This window comes from Homo sapiens, chromosome 3 (assembly GCF_000001405.40).
Source record: "Homo sapiens chromosome 3, GRCh38.p14 Primary Assembly".
In the NCBI taxonomy this organism is placed as follows: domain Eukaryota; kingdom Metazoa; phylum Chordata; class Mammalia; order Primates; family Hominidae; genus Homo; species Homo sapiens.
Genome location: NC_000003.12, coordinates 172958604 through 172983012, shown reverse-complemented (window position 1 = coordinate 172983012; position 24409 = coordinate 172958604). Strand labels below are relative to the sequence as shown.

The 24409-nt window shown below is 36.7% G+C and overlaps 1 protein-coding gene, 1 long non-coding RNA gene and 1 other non-coding gene across 5 annotated transcripts in view; 2 read left to right on the top strand and 1 right to left on the bottom strand.

Annotated features, from left to right (window-relative positions):
- The window catches only part of SPATA16 (spermatogenesis associated 16), a 251879-nt gene that overhangs the window by 158223 nt on the left and 69247 nt on the right, over positions 1–24409 (top strand). For all 3 annotated transcript variants that reach the window (NM_031955.6, XM_006713778.4, XM_017007308.3), the window contains exon 5: positions 5961–6045. In NM_031955.6, the coding sequence (NP_114161.3) occupies positions 5961–6045 (85 nt within the window). The remainder of the gene's footprint in view (positions 1–5960; positions 6046–24409) is intronic.
- Positions 7771–7871, top strand: LOC124906369 (small nucleolar RNA U13). Its single transcript, XR_007096336.1, has one exon. It is a non-coding gene; the product is annotated as a small nucleolar RNA U13 (small nucleolar RNA).
- Positions 16849–22489, bottom strand: LOC105374221 (uncharacterized). Its single transcript, XR_001741022.1, has 3 exons — positions 22219–22489; positions 20243–20302; positions 16849–17091 (listed from the first exon to the last, which is right to left on the bottom strand). It is a non-coding gene; the product is annotated as an uncharacterized LOC105374221 (long non-coding RNA).

Here is a 24409-nt window from a genome sequence, read left to right as displayed (position 1 = left end):
AACGGAATGACTTTTCAAGGTCTCAGCCAGTCAGCCCAATGAGACCACACAGCTGATTGTGTGCTGTGATTTTTTTTTGTTTACCCATATCTTATTGTTTTACACCACCATGTGGCCACACTGAGTAGAAATGTTATAAATTTTGAATCTGAACATAGGCCTTGAGAAATGTCAGTAGTATTTTCTCATACTCTTAGAATTGCACAGTCTTAGAAATATCCAATCTGTAAAAGCACCTAACATAAATGTGCTTGTACTCATAATCCTTTTGTGATATTAATTACAAATAAATAAATAAAACTGGAAAATAAAACTGGTACCTATTTGATGAATAATAACATGTCACATTATTTTATTGTGCATTTGCCATTCTATAGGAACAAAATTTGATTCACAATAAGCTGAGTTCATAACATAAAAAACATTTTATTTTATATGTGTAGATACTTAAAAACCAGATTCTGGCCCTTTTATACTTAACATATGTATTAAGTAAACAAAATGTGAACATTTCCTTGCAGGGAAGCAATAACTGCTGACATATGACTGAAGGCATCATGTAAAAAATAATTTTAGATACAACACATTAGGCCAATGTGTTTCCCAATACCTTTCCTCTTCAATTTATGCCATAAATACATCAGCATCCATTAGCATTCATTAAGCTCTCATATGAGCTAAATTTTGCATTGGACAAATTAGACTGACAAAGCCCATTCTGTCACTCCATTACCATGCCACTTTCACTACAAAAGCATTCTCTTAAATATGGACAGTGAGATAGCTCTAAGGCCAGACTGCTTCTGCTAGAATCCTAGTAAGCTATGTAATTCTGTTAGTCTCAGGCTCTTTGTAACATCGAATTTATTTTTTTGAATTTATATAAATAAATAAGATAATGTGTAGTTGTTAATTCAACAAATATTTATTGTGTGACTACCATGCCAGGCACCATTCTAGGCACAGGGGATACAGCAGTGAATAAAACAGACAAAAATCTCTGCCCTTGGGGACCTTATATTCCAGTAGAGCCAGATAGTGAGTATTTTTGGCTTTGTGAAACATAGGATTTCTTTGTAACTGCTCACCTCTGCCATTGTTGCACAAAAGCAGTCATAGACAGTGTGTAAGCAGTGCACAAATGAATGAGCATTGCTGTGTTCCGTTAACACGTTATTTATAAACACAGGGAGCAGACCAGATGGGACCCACAGACCATAATATGCTGACCCTGCAGTAAGGGAAGACAGCAATAAACACCACCAAAACTAATACAAACAAAATAAACTTTATGTTGAATGGTGATAAGTAGTATGGAAAAAGTACAAGTGAGGGTATGGATAGTGTTGGAATCTGGTCAGGGTAGTTCTCACTGAGAAAATGACACATACAAAGACCGAAGGAGGTGAGCAAGAGAGTCATAAGAATGTCTAGGGAAAGAGCATTTCAGGAGAAGGACTGTCATGTGCAAAATCCCAGAAGCAACAGTATGGCCATTCTTTGTGAGGGACAGCAGGATGGACCCTGTCAGGAGCAGAGTGAGCTAAGAAGGTAGTTGAAAATGAGGTCAGAGAAGCAACATGTGTCCAGATGATATAGGACTTAAACGCCACTATAAAGAGGTTAGTTTTTCACTCTGAGAGAGACAGGAAGCTTTGCAGTTTTAAGCACAGGAGTGACCTGCTCTAGCATCCTAATTTTAATGGGATCACTCTGACTATTGTGTTGAGAATAAACCGATGGAGAAGCAGGGAGCCCAGTTTGGAGGCCGTTGCAGTAATCCAGGTGAGAGATTATGGACCAGATGATAATGCTGGGAAGATAACTGCAAGGGAGGATGAAAACAGCAACGAGAAAGATAGGAGGAAAACCAGAAATAATGGCACAGTGGAAGCCAAGTGGGAGAGTGTACACTAGATGACAGCATGAGCTATTGTATGACTTGCGCCTGAGAATGTATAGAAAATGAAGACTGAAAATTGAACCATTACATTAGGCAATACGGAAACTATTAGTGGTACTGACAAGAGCAGTTTCAGTGACGTGGTGGGAATGATAGCCCTGCTGGAATGAGTCGCAGAGACAACAGGAAGAGAAAAATTAGAAGTAGAGAATGCACACGGCTTTTTCAAGAGTGCGAGGTTTTCCAGTTTGCTTTTTAATAGTGAAGGGAAGAATTCAGGTGATAATTGGAATGGAGGACATGGAGCAAGAGAAGCTTTTGGGGTATTTTGTTTTGTTTTTAAAAGGAAGAAACAACAGCATTTGTGTATGCTGGCAGAAAAGCTCCAGGAGAAAATGAGAAATGGAAAGAGAGAAAAGAAACTAGAAGAGTGAGATACTTGGCGGAGCAGTTTCCATGATTAGGCGCGATTGGATGAGATCTAGTGCAGAAGTGGGTGGGTCAGGTTTACACTCTGCTCCATAAAGTGCTTAACATGGTGCTTATCACTTCATAAAGGCTCAAAATTAGCAGATGTTAAGCCGCCGATCGTCAGTTAAAAGGGTTTGCCTAACATGATCTTATAGCTCCATTGCAGGTACAACATTCAGTACATTAATGAAAATAAGATGAACAGAATCATGACAATGAAATGAAAATAGTCGGAAGCAACATTGAATCACATTGACTAGCACCTAGATATTGTTCTAATGGTAGAGAGATACCTGAAGGAGAATAGAAAGAATGATGGGTTACTGTTTACATTTGATTCATGGGATGAGTCTGCCGGAACCAGGATCTCACATGGTACTTGACTCCTTATGGATGCTCAATGGGTTGATCAATTAATTATCTTGCCTTTTATAAATTCAGCACGATGAAAAGCCCATGGCTCTTCCCTCACAAATATTGCATGACATAATGTTATTTCCATGCACTTTTCATATCATTTCACTAAGTTTCACTGATTCATGAGGGCTGAGCAGTAGGGCAGAGTTACAATAGAGAACCAGACAAAGGAAGGCAGGTAGTAAAAGCACAGCTGCCATTTCCACTGGGAAGAAAAAGGGGCTTGGAGCAACTACAATCTGAATTGTGTTCCAAACATGAACACACCTCTATGAATACATGCCAGGTATCGAAAGAAATACATCATACTTATGAAATATATCTCAGCTAATATGGAGCTTTAGGAAATCATTTTTTGTTATTTAATTTTAATATCCTTTTGCTCTTATAATACTTATGCTTCACTGAGGTATGGCAGGTAAGGAATTTCAATGCATCTTAATTCTTCATGGTTTCAATATCAATTTGGAGAGCTGTGTTCCTTTAAAAAAAAGACTTGAGCCCCCAGGTGAAAAAGCACACTTAAGAATGTAGCAAACAATGCGACAATATATTATTACAGAAAAAGCAACTTTGGCATAACATTAATAAAAGCGCTAAAAATTCTAATTTTACAATGGTGAACACAAAACCAAATTACCAAAAGCATTAAAAAATCAGGAAAGCCTTAGAAACCCACTGGGGTGATCTACCTCCTTCTCTTTCACAATAGTCGTAATCCAAAAATGACAATAACTAACATTATAAAAATTCTTATCAATTTAGCTTTTACTTGACTCAAGCCACTGTGTCTATGATCCAGAATTATCTTTTACATTTTTTGCATGTTTCAAGTTGTCAAGTTTAGTTACTGGACTCTGCTCAGTAATATTAGTGCATGTTATGTTGTCCCTTGAAGAGAAAATAGCAGATTGAAATATCCAAGGGGCACTGTGGCTGGAATATGTACACACTGGCATTGGACTATTTTTTTTTTTCTTTTTTTGAGACAGAGTCTTGCTCTGTTGCCCAGGCTGGAGTGCAGTGGCGCGATCTCGGCTCACTGCAAGCTCCGCCTCCTGGGTTCACGGCATCCTCCTGCCTCAGCCTCCCGAGTAGCTGGGACTACAGGCGCCCGCCGCCACACGTGGCTAATTTTTTGTATTTTTAGTAGAGATGGGGTTTCACCGTGTTAGCCAGGATGGTCTCGATCTCCTGACCTCATGATCCGCCGACCTCGGCCTCCCAAAGTGCTGGGATTACAGGCATGAGCCAACGCGCCCGGCCAGCATCAGACTATTGATTGACAATTATATAAATGCCCACCATGGCTTGATCAACCTACTAATTTTCTTATTTTAGAGTTAAACTAACCCAATCTGTTTTTTGTAAATAAAATCTTATTGGAAGACAGCCACGCTAATTGGTTTATGTATTGTCTATAGCTGCTTCTGCAAAGCAAAGTTGAGTAGTTGTTAAACCACATGGCCCACAAAACTTAAAATAGTTACTATCGACCCTTTACAGGAAAAGTTTGCCCACCCTTGATTTAACTAATGGCTGGTATACTTCTTAAGCAATGTTTGTTGAACCATATTTGTAAATCCAAATGTTAATGGTAGAAGCAATCAGAGTGCAGACCAAATTGTCACCTAAGTGTACCCAACTCCTATAAATATAGGGCGTGTTGTCCTTGAAAGTAAAATTTCTATATTTTCCATCGATTTCTTAAATTCAGAATTTATTAAATGAATTTCTATTAAATAACAGGCACCTCCATGTCGAGTAAACTTTCTTTTTAGGTTGTTATGAAAAGAAAATGTTTCCATGTGCTTCTATCAAAATGCAAACATTTGAAATGCACTTTTGTCCCTCTACAATCTATGATTTTTATAACTTGTTTCTGTCCCATTCATATTCACACAACATCAAAACCTCCTACCTCTCTTTACCTTATCATTAAGAGCTTTGAAAAATATAAAAGGATTCTTAAATTAGCTATTCTTAAATTACTGTCATTTATTTTGAAATGTCAGTGGGCAGCTTCTTTCCAATACTACCTGTGTTTATATATATATATAGAGAGAGAGAGAGAGAGAGAGAGGGAGAGAGAGAGAGAGAGCTGAATAATCCTCCAGTTGGTGGTATTTGTTTCCACCATTGATTTTTTAGAGTCCTAATTTTTGTCTGTCCTGAAGAAGAATCTAAACATTTAAATTATTTCAACAGAGTAAGTTTATAACTGCTATGACTTATACAACTTATATTTAGAAAAGGAAATTTTCTAATTCAATTTACAATGATGTCAAGAAACTACACATATCTGCAGGCAAAGATAAGAAAAACATTCAGGGGTACACAGTCATAGCTCTACTTAAGTAAATAAACTTTTGGTACTAGTGATTAGGTACACAGGATTATTATATGTTTAATTGGCTAACGTGACAATTTGGAATTACTTCTAGTCACATTTAATTGGATTTGGAATCTCTGGAGAAAGAAATAGAGAGACCTAGCAGAGAAATAGTCATAAAAGTAAACTGTTTTTCCAAAGGGTACTAAGTAATGAATTAATATCCATTGCACAATAGTTTTTAATATCCCCTCAACTTAATAAGATTAATGCAGAAAGTCTACACACTAGACATTAAAATCAATTCAATTACACAAAAATCTGTGGGGAGAGGATTCTTCCTTGAATTGGAGATTTTTTTATTTTCTGTTTTCAGGAGACTATTAAGAGGTGAATAATACTTAACTCAGGTAAAGTCTGAGATATGCTTAAATACCAATCTAATAGTTAGCTATATACGCTATGCTAGGTTTGAAGAGCTAAAAGTTCCTAAAATCTGTGTCACTCTGTAAGGGCTTTGAAGCTTAATATAGGCCAACCAAAACAAAACATTCTCTCATAATCTTTAAATATTCTTATACTGTACAAATTTAAAAAGCACCTAGAAGACAAATAGCTTATTGCTTCTCTTTTATAGTTTTGGTTTATCTACCTCCCCAAAAAAATCCCTACTTTCAACACTCTAAAATGTGCTTTGTGTTTTGCTTAATATTAGTCTAGACAAATTTATACATTAAAAATCATCTTCCTCAGTATTTGTATATAGTGCCTGTTATGGTTTTCCTTCTGTCCTATACATTTGTTTTTGTTTTTTTTTTAATCTGTCCTTGTTCTTAGGAGTGCCATGATTGCTGACTACATGTTCTGGCTTGGTGGAGGAAGGGAAGAGAGCATAAGCAAGCTCATCAAACTGTATTGGCAGGTAAAAATTGATGTCCCAACTAGGGAGGAGAAACCCATCTCATTTTTAGAGCCAAAATGAAAGATTGGTGCTTAAAAGACTGAAGAAAAAGGTAGCTCTGGGCATATCAATCAGAAAGAAGGTACTGAATAATAATGTATTCATAACGAAGTAGATTTTCTAAGACTAATTCTAGGGGCAAAATTCAAGGTTGTTAACCCATGGCCCATACTTCAGTTTTACAACTCAATATAAATTTTAGAGATCCCAGGAACTACTTTTCCAGGCGTGCTACTATAATATTAGGATTATTTAAAATATGAACATTGTATTTTCATAGATTCTTACTGATCTACAGCCTGTAAAAACAGATGCTAGAAGTAATATTAATTACATAATAAAGGAAAAATGCAAAGATCAGATGTATTTGTTTACTATTTACTATTTGAAACACTTAACCAATATCAAATTGCAGATCTTGTTTCTCATTTATTATTCAAAATGGCAGCAAGAAGTCATACCAAAGGTCAATCAGCTGCCAAGAAGAAATTCATAATTTCTTAAACGTATAAGAAGAATTTTGGATTTATTAGTTCAATCTCATTTATAAGACATGAATCTGTTCTTACTTTACCCTCCCCCAACAAGCTGTCAATAAGTTTCTGCTGACATATATCCAAAATGAAGAGCTCACTTAACCCCCACAAAAATAACATCCAGTTTGCTAACTATTAAACTGTTTTCCTCATTTAAATTGAATTTCTACTCCCTTAAAACTTCCATCCCATTGTTTCTGATGAGTCCACATGAACCACATGAAACCCATTTCCAATGAAATTGTTATAAATATGTGAAAATCAACTACAAAAGCCAACTTTCTCCTCCATGTTTTCTCTTCTCCAGACTGTGTGGAGCTTTTTCCTTGTATTTCAAGATGTTTTAATTTAATTGAATACGAACCTTTTGAACCAACCAGAATAAGATGTTCTAAGCCACTAACTGTAAAGTAAGAAATAATCATCAACAGCCTTCTGAAGCTTCCTGTTTTTTTCCTGTTTTTTTTCCCCCCACATTTTCACTACCATGTCTTGGACCCTAGTTTTTTGTCTCTCTATATTATATGTTATCTTTGTTAGATATTAAAGTGTCAGGTTTATCATACACAATTTCCAGCAATGCACATGGTTCTATCTGGAGATCAATTTACCTTCTATTAAAAAAAAATTTAAATTAGTCACATTATACTTCAGTTCTGTGATTATTTTAAAATGAAAAAACAAATGTTGATCTCCAGGTAGACAAACCTTTAAACCCAAAACAACCTATTACTTCTCTGATAATTTTAAGACCTTCCTAAGATAATCTGGAACATACAAACAGCAGTAATGGCTGATGAACATGTAACTAAATAGTCGTTTAAAAATGCCAGATGGGAAAAATAAGCAAATAATATGGGCTATAGCTATACAAAGAGGACTTTTTTATAAGGATTTCAGAGGCTTTTATAAAGGATTTAAGAGAGGTGGGAAAGGAGTTGTGAATCTTAAGGATTGGAAAATATTCAGCAGGCCTGGCATATACTAGGTCCCCAGCGAATGCTTGACTTAATTTAATTATTCATTAAACAAATGTATATGAGTACCTATCCTGTTTTCTACATTGAACTAAGAAAATAATAGATCCAATGTCAGCATAACCTAAGACAAAGTAAGACCTTGGAAGTTTCGTAAATAAAAATTTTGTCTGACCATGTTGTGGTTCACAAGCATGATAACTCTGTTTTTACGCTCACATGTGAGACATGCCTCCTTCCAATCTTGTTATGTCAGCACATTATCCATCTGATGCGAAAAAATTTTTCTGTTTCCTTTAGCTTTCAGAGAGCATTAATATCCCTATTTTATTTACCTCAGACTAAGAAAATAATCTCCACTTACCAAATGCATGCATGTTTGTGATATAAAAAGAAATAAAATGAATATTTTACTATTATGCATTAATAAAAGATAAAAAATAGTTCTTTTTGTATTCCCTGTTTCTTGATTGGATGTAACCTGGCATAAAGGAAAAGAGCTCTTGTCTAGAAGTCAGGTCTGATTTGGCGTAAGTTCTAATACTAACTAGATATTGAACTTAGGGCAAGTTAGTCTGTAGCGAGCTTCAACTGGAAAGTGAGGATGGCTAGAATAAAGTGTTTGAGAAGGTTTATTCTTAAAGCCCATTTTAGCACTAAAATCTTACCCAAAATCTTAGGCATATCCAAAATGATGTCACCAATTTTGAGGGAAAAAGAAGCAATATAATTAGAAATCACTTCCTGCAGATAAATTCTATAAATTAACACCCTCTATCAAGCCCCAACATCAGCACACCAAACCATTCACTCACCCATTATATACTTCCTGCTGCTAACCAGCTTCTCCTTGATCTTGATTCAAATGTATACATTCGAATCCCTAAACCTTGTTCTGTCCTAAATCAGAAGGGGGTTTTAAACCCTGCCAGAGAGTGCCAAGTCTATGCCATCTTTAAAGATACATATGCCCCACTACCCAATCCACCCTAGCAATTTCACTGATGACTTCAAGAATGTCCCCAAACATCACAGACTAGAGACTGTATTTTCATGCACTTTTATAGGCATCCATTAAGGTTAAATAGATAGACACTATTTTCACCACCTTTGCCAGAAGTTACTATACTGTATATCTTCCTTTTCAACCCTATAAAATCCATACCATTTTAGTTGGTTATTCTTCTTAACAGGAAATGGAAAATTTCAGAATGTAAAAATTTGAGAACACGTCTATATTTACTCTTATACATGGTTGACTTACAAACTCTCAGATGCAGAAGAATGGACCTTTGCTTTGGTGAACTCAAGAACCTTTCAATTGCATTAGGAACATTTTTCATATCATCAACCCAGCAAGGAAAAGAAAGGCATAAAGCACTATACTATATGACAGCTCACACTGGGATATATCACTTTGAATAAGTGTTTGCACATGTTATTCTATAATAGTGTCACCTCTTCAGAGCTAGAGAGGGTTGAAAATAACTTGTCATGACTGTACTTGCACACAATGCCTCTGCAACCCGACATCCAGGCATCTGTAATCAGCCATTCTCCTTGAGAACACCTGGAGACCTCACCACAATCCTGAAGTAATTAGCAAAATAGAAAGTACCAAGTCAGGCTTAGACTAAGCTATTTTTGAAATAGCTGCCCTATCGTATTTATATATTGGTCCTACACTAATTTTATTACAAGAACTTTATATTAAAATCTAGTCCACCTCTCCCTGCTCCTTACTACATCCAGGGCTAGTTTTAATAACATGAGGAAAACAAGCAAGCAAGCTTCCTCCATCTTCCACTCTCCTGTCCTGTCCTGCTGCATTCACTTTCAGCCACATTCTGAGGCACAAAAGTTTTCATGTGTGTGTCTTTAACTCATGTAATGTGAATAACAGAGCCAACCCTGGTCTGCGGTGCTCAGCAAAGTGAAGTGAGAAAAGGTAACAGCTAATTGTATCACAGAACTCCCACAAAACAAGTGCAGAGGAACCCCACTAAACAGGGGCATGCTGCCTGATCAGCTCATCCCCTACCTTAATGGTTCTTTTTTTATTTTTATGTTTTTGAGCTATAGACCCCTCTGAGAATCTAATTCATTTACAAGCATCCACCTAGAACAATAGTCATAAACACACACACACATGAAATATATGCTTACTTTTTATCTGATTGAATTGGAAATTGATCTCCTATACACAGTCAGAATACCAGAACAGCATTTACAGAAAATTATGGTTTTCTCACTCTTGTGAAAAGTCTTTTGTAGCTTTTCTAGATCAAGGAATTGAAATATTTCATATTGCATCAATTTCAACATTTCATTTTAATGTCAATAACGGGTAAAATCCTGATTCACAAAGTCTCTACTAGCAAATGGAGTTAGAGCTCCAATACTACACAATATCTCAGATGGGTCAGCATGAATCAACAATTACCAAAATTTTCAACTAAAATTTATAATACGTCATTTCCTTTGTCCTCAAGTAAATGAGGTCATCTTTGTTAGGCTTATATCATCAACGCTATCTATGTCGGCAATTTGTTTCCATTTTAAGGCTGTCTGAACAAAAAGTGACCTTCATAAGAGATAAGCCACTTGCCAAGTGTCTGTACATTTTTGTCCCCAAAAACTCTCAAGTCTTCGTCAGTCTCACCTTCAGTGTTGGAAAATCCATATTGTTATTTGACTTCGGTCACCTCATTTAGAGTAGCTGCTTGGCCAAAAAAAAAGCTTATAGTTTTTCAGCAGGATCTCTAATAGTAACTTCAGCATTTTCAATCAAAAGATTTGTTTAATTTATGTGCCTAAGGTATCAGCCATTACAAAGCTAGTCCTGGAATTTCTCACCATCAAATTATTCTAAGAAGGAGTTTTCTTTTCTCTTAAAAAATTGTAAAGAATTAACCAAACTAAATCACATCTAAATCTCTTCTCTGGATTGTCAACAAACTTCTCTAAAAGGAAAGAACCTCATGGTGTGCTCTTGTATCTTGACAAAGATCTACTGAAAAGGCACTAATTCAAGCTCTTGGCTCCAAAGAAGCTGAAGACTTTCACAGCAGTAGAAAGACCTCTTTTGAGATTGTTGGAAGAGCTGTTGACACCAACACAGGCCCGTGTAGAAAGCATGACATGTGGAGCATCTTTCTTCAGTGAAGCAGCAGAGGCTGAGGCAGTGCCAGCTTCACAGGTCTTCCATCTGTGCAGAGAACACCAAGACTTCCCATCCAATTCAAGTTGCACTTGGCATTGAAATGTTTCCCATCTCAAAGCTATCAATGGCCTATATGGTTTCCAAAGGCAGCTTACCAAAAAGAAATATCTCTTTGGTGTGATTAGTCCTACTCTCAAGGGACAAAACTGGGAGCTGGCTGAACTGAGAGACAAAAAAGATTTTCCACAGCCACATGCTCAAAGACGGCCCATAGTTTGTGGGCCCCTAACGCCTTTCTATGGACTTCAGGGTTCACAGACCACAGGCTAAGACTCTTTTACAACTCCTTCTCTTTACATGATTGTCACTATTGCAACAACCCCTTTTCTTTTTGCTATTAGGCCTACCAGGAGGCATTTACTGCTTCTAACATTCAAAGCAAAAAATAGCACCCACAATGTTATTGTCATGAGTGACTCCATAAACTGCACCATGGTCATTCAAGCTTGAAACCTTGGCAATAGTGTCCAGAGTCTTCTTAAGTTAGTGGATACCTTTATTATTTATGCTCAAATTGTATTTGTCATTCATACTCATTCAACAAATACTTACTTAGTGACTGTATGTAAGGCACTGTGCTACATGTTGGAGATACAGGAGTGAACAAAATAGACATTGCCTGTCTTCAAGGAGCATATATTCTAGCGCAAACTATTACCAGGAAAAGCTACAGACTATAAGGTACTTAAATTGTATACCACCTCTAGTTAATCTGCTTTCAAAATGCACCACCATCAAAATGCATTGCAAAAAGCAGCTTGATACAGATTTGTTAAATCAATCAATCAAATTAAATATTGGTTTGACATGAAGCTCAGACCAATAACATTTGACATGAGAATATTTTGGCATAGTTGTTTTACAATTTTAAAAACCAGTGATTATGAATCCAATGAACATTTTGCTAGGTATGTGCGCATGTGTTCCAAGTTCACAATTGTAAACAACTTTTGTGCTTCAGTTGAGTTTGGGATCAATAGAATTTTTGAAGAAAGTTGCAGGTTTCCAATAGATCTTTTAGGCTCATTAATTTCTGTGCTCAGAGGTGTCTTCATGGAAGTTCCAAGTTCTTAGCCTCCTAACTGCTTCTTTCAAACATGACAATCAAGGGAGCAGCAAGTGAATAGATTTCTCTAAACAGACCAGAGAATCATGTACAATAAATTAACACTGAACATGACTTGATTACTTATACTAATAATGATGACTTTTTCTCTTCTATTCTTTGTTTTTCTTCTTGATAGTGCAAAATCATTCCAATATTACTCATTACCTGATAAAAATGTATGCTAACCCCAAATAAATATAAAATCTTCAACATGAAATTACAGGCAAAGTAAGGTCAAGGAACTGAAAAATATTTTTTATCTTTAACAAAACACCTACATTTTCTGGAGAAATGTGTTTTCTCTGAAGATTTGCTTCCATGTGAAAAATTTTTCCACAGAAAGGAACAAAATAGCAATACCATCTGAACATTTCTCTTAGTGGCCTATATTTGTAGTGTATTTATTTATTTGGCCCTGTCAGGCAGAGAGTTTCTAAATTATTTGCATGAGGAATGTCTGAAAGCAGCCCAGGCTCTATAGTATTTAGATTAGATGTAATTTGAGAAGCACTAAAGACACTCACCCAAAAATATTTTCCCCATCAATTACTATGTATCATACTTAAATTCTTATCATTTGGCATTGAGTGTCCAGTCAGCCCTAGGTCATATGCAGAAGAAATTTTATCTAGAAGTGTTTAACTAAGTACATTGTTACCTCTGAATAGAATTGTAAAAATTAGTTTATTTGAGCTTTCTTAGTCTTCTTTGAAAGGTGAAAGCAGAATTCTATAAGAATAAGATATAGGGAAAGGTAAGATCTAATGAGAAAATTTGACAGAAATATAGGAAATGTAGGCCAACGAGAAGTACCTTTCGAAGACAATGGACATCTGTGCTTAATTCTGTCAAGGAAAGGAAGCAAAGGAAAATAGGCATCACGGAGCAGGAGAAAAAGGTTGGGCCTGAGATTCAGGAAATTTAACTTCTAGTTCCAAAGCTGACTCAATTTTTAATAAATAATGCAATTTTTTATTAGCCAGCTACTGCTGCAATAATACTGTGTAACAAACCACTCTAAAACTCAGCGGCTTACCAAATAAATATGTTGGCTCAAATTTGACTAGTTGAGGGTAATCTCGACTGGGCTTGGCTTACCTCCAAGCTGCAGAGAGGTCCAAGTGTATTTCACGGATCTTTCGCTCTCCTTTGTCCAATGATTACCTGATGCAAGTTCTTTTTATGGCAAAATGCAGGATTCCAAGAGAGAAAGCCAAACCATATAAGCACATTTTAAGCCACTGCTCATACCATCGTTTCTAACATTCTATTAGCCAAAGCAAGCCACACGATCAAGCCCAAGAGCAAAGGGTAGATTCTTCTGCCCACTACAAAGCCAAGACAAAGGGGTGGAGATGACGTTGCAACAAGGAGGGGAAAAATTGAGACCCACAACTCAATCTACCAAAATTGCTCTAGGCCTTCATTTCTGCTTCTGTTGGCCTTCCAGTGAGGAAGTTGGCCTAGGTTAGTGGCTCTTAAACACCAGTCTAGTAACCAACTGCATCAGAGTCACTTAGAAAAGCATTTAAAATATTAGATTCCTAGAGTTGAGTGGGATACTAAAAACTGTATTTTTCTATTGTCCCCCTTCAACCAGGTGATTCTGATGCACAACCCCAGGCATATGTCTCAAAAGCTATTTCCAATTTTTAAGTTAGTGACCAACTTAGCCCACCATAGAGTTTATCTGGGACTGCCCTATGTGCAAAGGTATGACATTGGATGACCTGCACAGGTGATCCTGCCTACCTGACAATGCAATTTAAATACTTTATAAGACCCAGATTCTCCCCTCCATATTCCCACTATTAGATTACCTCCCAGTAGATTAGGCAGCTTATGTTTTCCATTGTTAACAGTTAATAATTGCTGTCCCTTTCTCCCCATGATGTAAGTCAGATTTTCCTGTGTACTTCACATCCCTGAAGCAAACCTCTTGGCTGCTTAAGTGTCACATCTAGACAACAATGGGCATGCAATATTCTTTAGTCTCTTGCCTACAAAGAAATTTGTCTATTGAGCTAGACAATATTAAAATTCCCAGTTTATGAATTCTCATATTTTTCAATTAGAAGACAGACTAAAGAGGAAGTATCCAAATTGAGGTGAGAGGTAAAAGAGAGCTTCCTTTCCTGGGTCTTGCAAAAAGATAAATGTAGACATAAATTTCTCATCTAATTATTCATTCCTGTTTATACATTCTTTAATGATATGTTTCCATGGTTACCAGCGTTGTTAAATGCTGCCTGTGTTTCATTTTGCTTTGATGCTATTTGAGGTAGTATGCCAGTAGGAGAGGTTCACTTTTAAATGAAAGATGTAATTGAGGCATGTATTTGATCCAAGGTTGAGTGTTCCCATGAAGGAGATAGTGACCGTGACATTATTTGCTGGTTGTATAGTTTTGTGTAGTTCTTCTGTTGATGTTCTGTGAGTGCTGCAGGCATTAGAAAGAAAGGGAAGAAAGGGGGGAGAGAGGCAAGAACCTGAACCATACACATATATAAATTAATGTGTAGATTTTACTATATACATATACATAGTGACATTGATTTAGACGGACTGTCAAGTAGGTAAGGTTGCTTTTTACTACCCCATTCCTCTCTTCTCCTCACGCTATCCCCACTTCAACCCAACATGTACATGCCAATAGGCAGTTTTTTTCGAAAATGAGTTGAGCATTCAATTGCTTTGCCTCAGTGTGAATTTCAGCACAATGCCACCTCTCTGGAGGTTTTTTGCCTTTGAAGCCCCAACTCTCACTGAGAAATAAATGGCTTAGTCCCCTGCTACCAACACAATGTCAGGCATCCAGATCATACAAGAATTTGAGGGCACTAATCCTTGCCAGTGCCTCAGAATATGCCCTGCAAGGGGCAGCGTGCTTCACTTGCACATCAGCCTTCTCTGCACGTTGATAATTAAGGCTTGTTAGAAAATTCAGGCAACAGAGCTGATACAGTCCCCGCTTCTCAGGAGGCTGAGGCAGGAGAATCATTTGAGTCCAGGAATAGTTAAAAGCTATTGCAGTGGTCCCCAACTTTTTGGTACCAGGGACCGGTTTTGTGAAAGACAGTTTTTCCATAAACTAGGGTGGGGGGATGGTTTCAAGATGATTCAAGCACATAACACTTATTGTGCACTTTATTTTCATTACTATTATATTGTGATACATAATGAAATAATTATACAACTCACCATAATGTAGGATTAGTGGGAGCCCTGAGCTTGTTTCCCTGCAACTATACAGTCCCATCGGGGGATGATGGGAAACAGTGACAGATCATCAGGCATTAGATTCTCATAAGAAGCACATAAACTAGATCCTTCGCCTGAGGAGTTCACAATAGGGTTCGTGCTCCTATGAGAATCTAATGCCACTGTTGATCTGACTGGAGGTGGAGCTCAGGCAGTAATGCCAGCAATGGGGAGCAACTGTAAATACAGATAAAGCTTCTTACTGGCCCGCCACTCACCTCCTGCTTTGTGGCCTGGTTGGGGATCTCTGAGCTATAGTAGGCTGTAACCACACCCATGAATAGCCACTGCACTCCAGCCTGGGCAACATAATGAGACTCCCATCACTATGAAAATAACATATAAATAAACTAAAAAATTCAGGCATCATAAAAAGCAAGACAATTAATCTTCAGTGACCCCTGAGTAATGTTTATTTTGTATCTTCTTCAGAAATGTCTATTTTTTCAAAATATTCCTGGTTTGGTTTTTCAGTATTATTAGTAGGTGACGGCAGAAGCCCACATCATTTAAATGCAGCTTTTTCTTTACTTTTTTTGCCTCCTAAAAAGCTTTTGGGTTTCTGATGGTTTCTATGGGAGGAAAAAAACTAACCTCCAAATTTCTTTTCATTTTCTCTCATTTGAGAAAGATATGCGCTTAGAGATGTAAAGCAATTCAGGCCTTTCTTTACTTTAACAAATTTAGGTCTAGATATTTGATTCCCAGGAGGCCTGTGGCTATTCTGCATGGTTTCCATGAGGTTATTTTATTTTCATAGAGACTTTGCCTTCCAGTCTAAATTTACAAACATGTTGACTCCTTCTCTGTGTTTGTTTGCATCTGAAAATCAAAACTTGTTATGAGCAAAACCAAATTTAGAGGGTTTTATGGTTATCTTTTCTATTTTCCATAGATTTTTATGGGTTATTGATTTACAAGCTTGCAGAGAAATTGAGGTCACTTTTTTTAGCAGTTGGAGATGTGTAATAACTATTCCATGAAATCATGAAATTTTTTAAGCTGTGTTCACTCAGGTATAAGATAATCTGTAAAGCTCAAAGCTTTTAATGTTTTTATTTATACTCAGCCATCATTTTGGTGGTATTGCACACCAATTAAAATAAATTCTCCTCTTTTCTTGAATTCATATGATTGTATTTTCTTCGCTAATTTTTGAAGACTGCCTACTTATCTGTACCTGGGCTGAATCATTCTCTTTTTCATGATAATTTTCTCCCTTCCAAATAATGAGACCTTGGCATTTCAAATGTCAGCCTTTAACATGTGGCATGATTTCGTTTTTCTCAGGATTATAAAGTAACTGTTAAGCTAACCTATTTTTATTCAAGAAAGCATAGGTGCTATTATATATATATAGTGCAGCCTACACCAGGAACCAACAACCTATGAGGAACAATAACTTCCAGAAAACCTCAGGAGGATTATTTCAAGCCCAAACATAAAGGGATGGAAAATATCATATTTAGCTGGCAAGCCTTCACTTCATTTATTATTTATTCTTCATCAGGTGGAGGTTGGCCTGCTGTAACGTTCATATAAGATGCAAATCAGAGATGTAACCAGAGACTGGACAGAGAACTTGGTAGTATAGTGGCAGGTCTCTTGAAGTTAGCACTTTATCTCATTTCATTTAATATTACGTGACATTGTGATTTTTTTCTTGTCACAAAGCACATAGAAACATATATAGGTATATAATGTATGTGGATCTATATATTATACATGTATTTTGACAAGTCCATTGCATTTCTCACAGGTGCAATTATTTCCCCTCTGAGACATTTTGATGTTAGGATGAAAGCATGGGAAGTCATGTATAGGAGGCCACCTGCCCCATAAAATTATCCTTCTGTGATCTGTTCTTTTTAAAATATAAAGTCTTCTGGGAGAGGCCACAACCTGGAAGACATTAATTGCAGACAAATTAAAGAAATAATAAAGAAAAGGCCGGGCGCAGTGGCTCACGCCTGTAATCCCAACACTTTGGGAGGCCTAGGCGGGCGGATCACAAGGTCAAGAGATCGAGACCATCCTGGCCAACATGGTGAAACCCCATCTCTACTAAAAATACAAAAATTAGACAATCGCTTGAACCCAGGAGGTGGGGGTTGTAGTGAGCCGAGATCGCGCCATTGCACTCCAGCCTGGTGACAGAGCGAGACTCCATCTCAAAAAAAAAATAATAAATAATAAAGAAAAATATAAGGTGTCTGATTGCCAGGCAAAGCTGAAACTTATGTAAGAAAAGAAATTACGGGGAGGCAAGAGAAGACCAGAACAAACTGTGAGTAATATTTCCACAGCACAGTCATCCCTCTTACTAGATTCCAGATACACTCATTTCTCTTGATCTGCACACCACCAAGGTCATGAGCTACGAGCTTCCAAGATGAACAATTCCCTTCTTAGAAGCCTCTGTTTCCTGCTAAAGATTCCACTTCTGCCCTCTGAAGCTCTGTGCAAGAACCTTTCATATATTTGGAATCCTATCTTAGTGCTGGACAGGGCTGTAAACATCATTTACAAGTCAGCATAGCATAATGGCTCAGAGGAAGAGGCCCTAAGATGTAACTAATTTGAATCCCATCTCTGTCATGAAGTAGCTGTGTGAAATTCACCATGTTGTAGAAGCTCTTTACAGACTAAGTTTTCCTCAACTATAAAATGGAGTAATAATGCTTGCTTTCCAGCATTGTTTTAGCAAACTAACAGAATAGTTTATCTACAGCACTTCGCCAACGCACAGGTGAAGACTCATTTGATAAATAAATGAGTTTTTCAGGTTTATCAGTAAGCCAAATAAAGTCTGCATAGAGAGAATCTGAGAACACGTTGCTACCTGATGACAGAAAGTTAGTCCTTGAAACCTAAATCTTGTCTCCAGATGAAACGTCCTCAAATCTTTTTAATTTGTTCTCCAACATACACTTCTTCAGAGGTATCCCTGATCTTTCCACTCAAAGTCATCTCAAATAATAGCCCAAAAGATAAAACAAATTCTGAGTAGAAAAAGCAGTACAAGTTTGAGAACGAAGTCACCAGGTCTTTGTCCCAACCCTGCCATTAATTAGTTGTGTGTACTGGCAAGGCATACCCCACTTTAAAACCACGGTCAAGAAATACAATCAAAAAACAACATACAGTTAGGAAAAGAAATACCTACCTTCATACAACTAAATGAAATATAGAGATGAAATGCACAATGACAAAAAAGGGTCCCAAGCTGTGTTGACATTTACTACTGAACACAGAGGCTAAAGCTCATTAGTAATACCCAGTTGTCCTTATGAACTAATTGCAGGTAATGTAGCTATTTATTTCTGTGACACCTTTTGGTGATTCATTTTAAGTCATCAAGAATAAAAGCTCTGTGGCATCCTAAAGAGTATGGAGGCTGCTGAAACCCACACTTGTAACTCTGAGTTTCTTTCAGCTGGCATTTCTCTAATGTGCAAGCAGAAAATTATTCAGGGTCTATAGAACAAGAACATACTTTAAGTTCTATTTATAAGTTATATATGTTTTGCCATTAAATAAGCTAGACTGACCTAAGCATGTTATTATTTAAGCCCCCTATCAAAAAGCCATTCATCTAATTTTTGTAAATGTTTCTTTTCAACACTGGCATGCCAGCTGATAGCATGTCCTAAATCTAATGAGGGGCCAGTGGACAAAACAGTCTTACTTGTGGCCAGTAGGTGTGAGTGATGAATATTCCATTTTGTGTTAGAATTGTTATAAAGAGGATCTTGATCTGGATATGGTTTGATGTGGTCTGTTTGTTTCTCTGTTTGTGCTAGAGTCAAATTCTAGCTGTCTGTGGAGACAGAAGTAGATAGTGATGAAAAAAGAAGAAGGGAATCAAAACTTGATCTTATACTTCCGAGAATTTACAATCTAATTAAAAGAATAAAATGTTGCTCACTGTAGAAGAAAGATTGGCTTAGGGGACTTGGGCTCTCATCTTGCTTTCATTTCTAATTTTGTAACCTTGGAAGAATCACCAGTACTCATCAAGCTTTAGTTTCCTTAGTTATAAAGTTTAGTGATTATAAAATAATATTTTAGATCCTTTCCATGTCCTCAGTTCTATCTTGAAGGACCATGGAAATAACATTTTACTATAAAATATAAATGATTAAAAATTAATGCAGGGTAAATTTTAGGCATTAAGTGCAGAAGTTATTTAGTTAATGGATGCATCACATATAATGAAAACTCTAACCCTAAACATACTGAATGGTAGACAGTAGCTCAAATAATATATTTACACAATTACATGCATGTGTATATACATATATATGTTCTAAAATTATATAGCAGTAACACACTACAAAACTAAATTAAATACTTTAAATTTAATATTATATTTATTATGACTATTTTTAAACAGAAAGGGTTGCAAAGTACAGAATTCAAAAAAGCTATATAAAAGTCCATTTCCCTTGCTACAAGTAACCTGTTTATGCAATTTTTAGTGATTTCTAAATAATGCAAGTAAAATTTAAATATTTTTATTTAAACTGCATGAAATATTTATAACTTTCACATCACTGGGCTGACAGAGGTAATGGCAAAGCTGCCAAATATTCTTTTATATTAAGAAAAAATGAAACTTATTGCGAATGTTCTTTCATAAAATAGCTTCCATAAACCCAGGGTAATATTCAGCATCAAAATGTTGATCATTGCAGCAGGGACAAGCAGTCAATTATTACATATTCTATTCTGACACACCATTATACTAAAATCATCATAAAAATGTAAATCTTGACTATTACATAAACGACACAGTGATTGTGTTTATAGGGTTGTCTCAAGGTAGCATATTTATGAAAATCTGTTTTTAAAATCAATTCTAAATTTCAAGAAAATTGAAATCCTCCAAATTAAACCACTATGTATATTTTAAAAATTGAATTTGAAAAACGTAGCTCACAAAATTTTATTTTTCCATTTTCTAGAAAATTATTATCATCATTTAAAATTGCATTATTATTAATATAATAACAAAGAGGTTTATTAGCCATTAAACACTAAAGGTACCTACCTCAATCATTTATAGCTTGCAAGTATAGTACTGCTTCCTTTGAATTTAATAATGTTAACTCTGAAAATAAAACAATAAAACTGTAATATTCAATCACTAGTAATACCTGCCCAGATGGATTTTATGAGGACTAAAGGAAATAGCCTATATAAAAGCATTTATCACACTGCTAAATGAAAGGTTGTTGTTTCATCTCTTTAAATGCCATGTTTTTCTTTACTTTTCAAAATAATACACAAGTATTAGTAGATAAAAAGGGATTATGAGAGAGATTCCAAGTTTCAAATTTTATTTATTAGTATTGGTATGTTAGGGTAGGCTACTATAACAAACAACCCCAAATTTCAGAAATTTAAAACAATAGAAAAATAATTTGATTTCTCACTCATAGTCCAACATGGATGTTTCTGATTGGATCTACTCTAATCATCAACTTGGGAACCCACAATGCTTCCACTATGTAGTGCCATCTTCCTTCCCACCTGTGAGTCCTTTTTTTTTTTTTTTTTTTTTTTTTGAGACAGAGTCTTGCTCTGTTGCCCAGGCTGGAGTGCAGTGGTCTTAATCTCTGCTCACTGCAACCTCCACTTCCTGGGCTCAAGCAATTCTCCTGCCTCGGCCTCCCAAGTAGCTGGTATTACAGGCGCTCACCACCATGTCTGGCTAATTTTTATATTTTTATTTGAGACAGGGTTTCACCATGTTGGCCATGCTGGTTTCGAACTCCTGGCCTCATATGATCTGCCTGCCTTGGCCTCCCAAAGTGCTGGGATTACAGGCGTGAGGATCGTGCCTGGCTGAGTCCTCTTTCTTAAGGCAGCTGACAGGAAAAGAAAATAGGGGATTATGCTAGGCAGGGTTTCATGGGCCAGGCCTGAAGAAAGTTAATGTCTCTCCCACCTCCATTCCATTGGTCCACATTCTGCCACAATTCATTGTAAGGGAGTCTGGAAAATGCCTATTATGTGCCTGCGAGGTAAAGTCATAATTTTCAAAAAAGAAAGTGAAATATAACATTAGAGACTCTAATTCTAAATTCTATAGAATTTTTTAAAGTCATTTAATAAGTCCTTAGAAGGCCGGCCATGGTGGCTCACGCCTGTAATCCAGTACTTTGGGAAGCCGAAGCAGAAGGATCACCTGAGGTCAGGAGTTCAAGACCAGCCTGACTAACATGGTGAAACCCCATCTCTACTAAAAATACAAAAATTCACCGGGCATGGTGGTGGGCGCCTGTAGTCCCAGCTACTCAGGAGGCTGCACTGGGAGAATAGCTTGAACCCCAGAGTGGGAGGTTGCAGTGAGCCGAGATCACACCACTGCACTCCAGTCTGGGCTACAGAGCAAAACTCCATCTCAAAAGAAAAGCCTTTAGAAAAGTCTCTTAAGCCTCTCCAAATCTCAAGAAGTTGGGCTGTAAGATTCCTAAGGTTCCTTCCAGATCTAATCTTCTAAATAAATCAATTTACTATGATTATAGTCAACCCTAAGACTGGAAGCAAGAAAGGAATAATTTGATGATAATCTATAATAATCATCATCACATTTTCTAATTTCACGTGACAAGATTCTTAGTAAACCACTTTCACCAAGCACATAGTTCAAAAGTTACAATTTGCCCAACTCCTCCACAAGAAAGAGAAAGGAAGGAAGGAAGGAAGGAAGGAAGGAAGGAAGGAAGGAAGGAAGGAAGGAAGGAAGAAAGAAGAAAGAAAGAAAGAAGAAAGAAAGAAAGAAAGAGAGAAAGAGAGAAAAAGAAAGAAAGAAAGAGAAAGAAAAAAGAAAGAGAAAGAGAAAAAGAAAGAGAGAGAGAGAGGGAGGGGGGAAGAGAGAAAGAGAAGGAAGGAAGGAAGGGAGGGAGGGAGGAAGGAAGGAAGGAGAGAGAGAAAGAAAGAGAGAAAGAAAGTAAGTTACATAATTCTATCATCCCGAAAATGTTTGAAGTTTATAGTTTCTGCCAGCTTAATTCTGGCTACCTTGAGTGCTCTTAAAATTTTACCAAGAAGAATCGGCCCTCTTGAGTTTAGATGAGGGAGATGAATTTTGTTTCTTTTTTGCTGGTCATGTTTCCCCCTACTTTTATTGCTTTTCTTTTCCTCTTGACGGAATATCTCTCCTCCTTGCTGTCCCATGGTCTCTTTTGTACAGTCATCCTGGGCAAGTTGATTTCTAAGGTAGCAAGGGGTTCTTTTTACTTAGCTACAGTACAAGGAGAAATTATTATAAGTTACTGTTTGTAGAGAAAATGAGCTGCCCACTTACACTCTTGGCTTATGTAACTAAATTATGAGCTTTACAACTTGATAAATGTGAGAGTAACAAAAGAGAGTTATTAGAACTCCCAAAGGTAAACACTTAATTTCAAAGCTTATTTTTGAGTAACAGCAGAGAAAGCATAATTAACAGCAATGTACATTTAACAACAGGGCACAAGGACTGATTGTTTTCTCCATTTTCTGCACACGTGCAACATTTACTGACATCAGAGAAGTTCACAGGTCCAGAAAGAATGATTCAATTACAGAATATTTATGTCAAATTAAGAAGTATCATTTGAAATCTGCTTCCATTTTTAGTATAGCTTATTTTTTACAACCAGCATTTCCTTGTCTGGTCTCTTCCTTTATTCGCAAAATCAAGGAAAATCTTTTATTATAAAAAGTAAATTTAAATCTATCTTTTATATTTTAATGTCTAAGATTATATCAAATCATTCTAGTTTTTAAAGTCCTTAAGTATAATTTTTAATTTACACATATTAGACTCTTTAAAAAGACAAGTCCAACTCTAAATTGCCAAATTATTATCATCACAAAGTGAAAATTTAATCTTTTGGTATCTAAACCAAAACAGTCAAAAAAAATCCTACTATTTTAATTGAATACAAAGGCTAAGTTTTTTCTAGATTTCACTAGTTATTCAATAATGCCATTCAATACCAATAATGCTAAATATATATATATATATATATATATATATATATGTTATATTACTCTATTTCTTTACAACAGCAATGTAGGACAGGCTCAAAGCCTCAAGATTGTCTGTCTCTAGAAGAATAAAAAATATTAGTACATTAAAACACAAAAGGATGTTTCAAGATCTGGTGCAAGGGTCATCTGTATTCTCATTTCTACTCTATGTTGTACTATTTCTTCCTGGGGCTATAATAATTTCCTTTAAGAAAGCATCTCCATGGAGAATACAATTTCTATTTGTAAATTACATACTCTCTCTATTTACTCACCCACTTCCTTACCCATCGTCTTCAGGTTGGAGAGCAGAATCCATGGAAGAACCCATCTCTATTGGTTCTCAGTGGGGAGAGAGGGAGGCTGCTCTCCAGCGCATACCCTCCTGAGTGAGAGCCCTGTTAAGGCCTGAAGGCAATGCCTTGAGCATTAAGCCAAGAGTACAGATCCTTCAATGAGCAGATCAAGCTGCCACATGAAAACCTACACTTCTGCCACTTTTTTAAAAGCTGGTGTAGGTTCTTGGGCACGAGTCTTACCATCCCCACTGTGAGATGGCTTCGCCAAGCTACCCTGCCAGCAGTCAGTTAAGCTGCCAGCAGTTGGAAAAGAAATGGGGTGGAGAGAGCGTTTTCTTCTATCCTAGCCTGACTAGGATATCACTAATATCTTTCTGGAAGCAAACTGGAGGATTATACCTTTGCTAGATTTGTTAATCCAGAAATTAAAGCAAAATACCCTTCAGCAAGATATTCAGAGACCATCAGAAAGCTGTTTCTGAGTTAGGAACTGTTATGGGCTGAACTGTACCTCTCCAAAATTCATCTGTTGAAGTCCTAACCCCTAGTGCCTCAGAGTTAGACTGCATTCCATTAGCCCACACTCAGCCACAGTTGGAGACAGAATCTTTAAACAGGTAATTACATTAAAATGAGGGCTTTAGAGTGAACCCTAATCCAATATGACTGCATGCTTATAAAAAGAGGAAATTAGAACACACACACACACGTGCGTGCACACACACAAAGAGGAATGACCATGTGAAGACATGGGGAAAGACAGCCATCTACAAGCCAAGTAGAGAGACCCTCAGAAGAAACCAAACCTGCTGACACCACTGTCTTGGACTTCCAGTCTCCAGAACTGTGAGAAAATAAATTTCTGTTGTTTAAGCCACCCAGTTGGTGGTACTTTG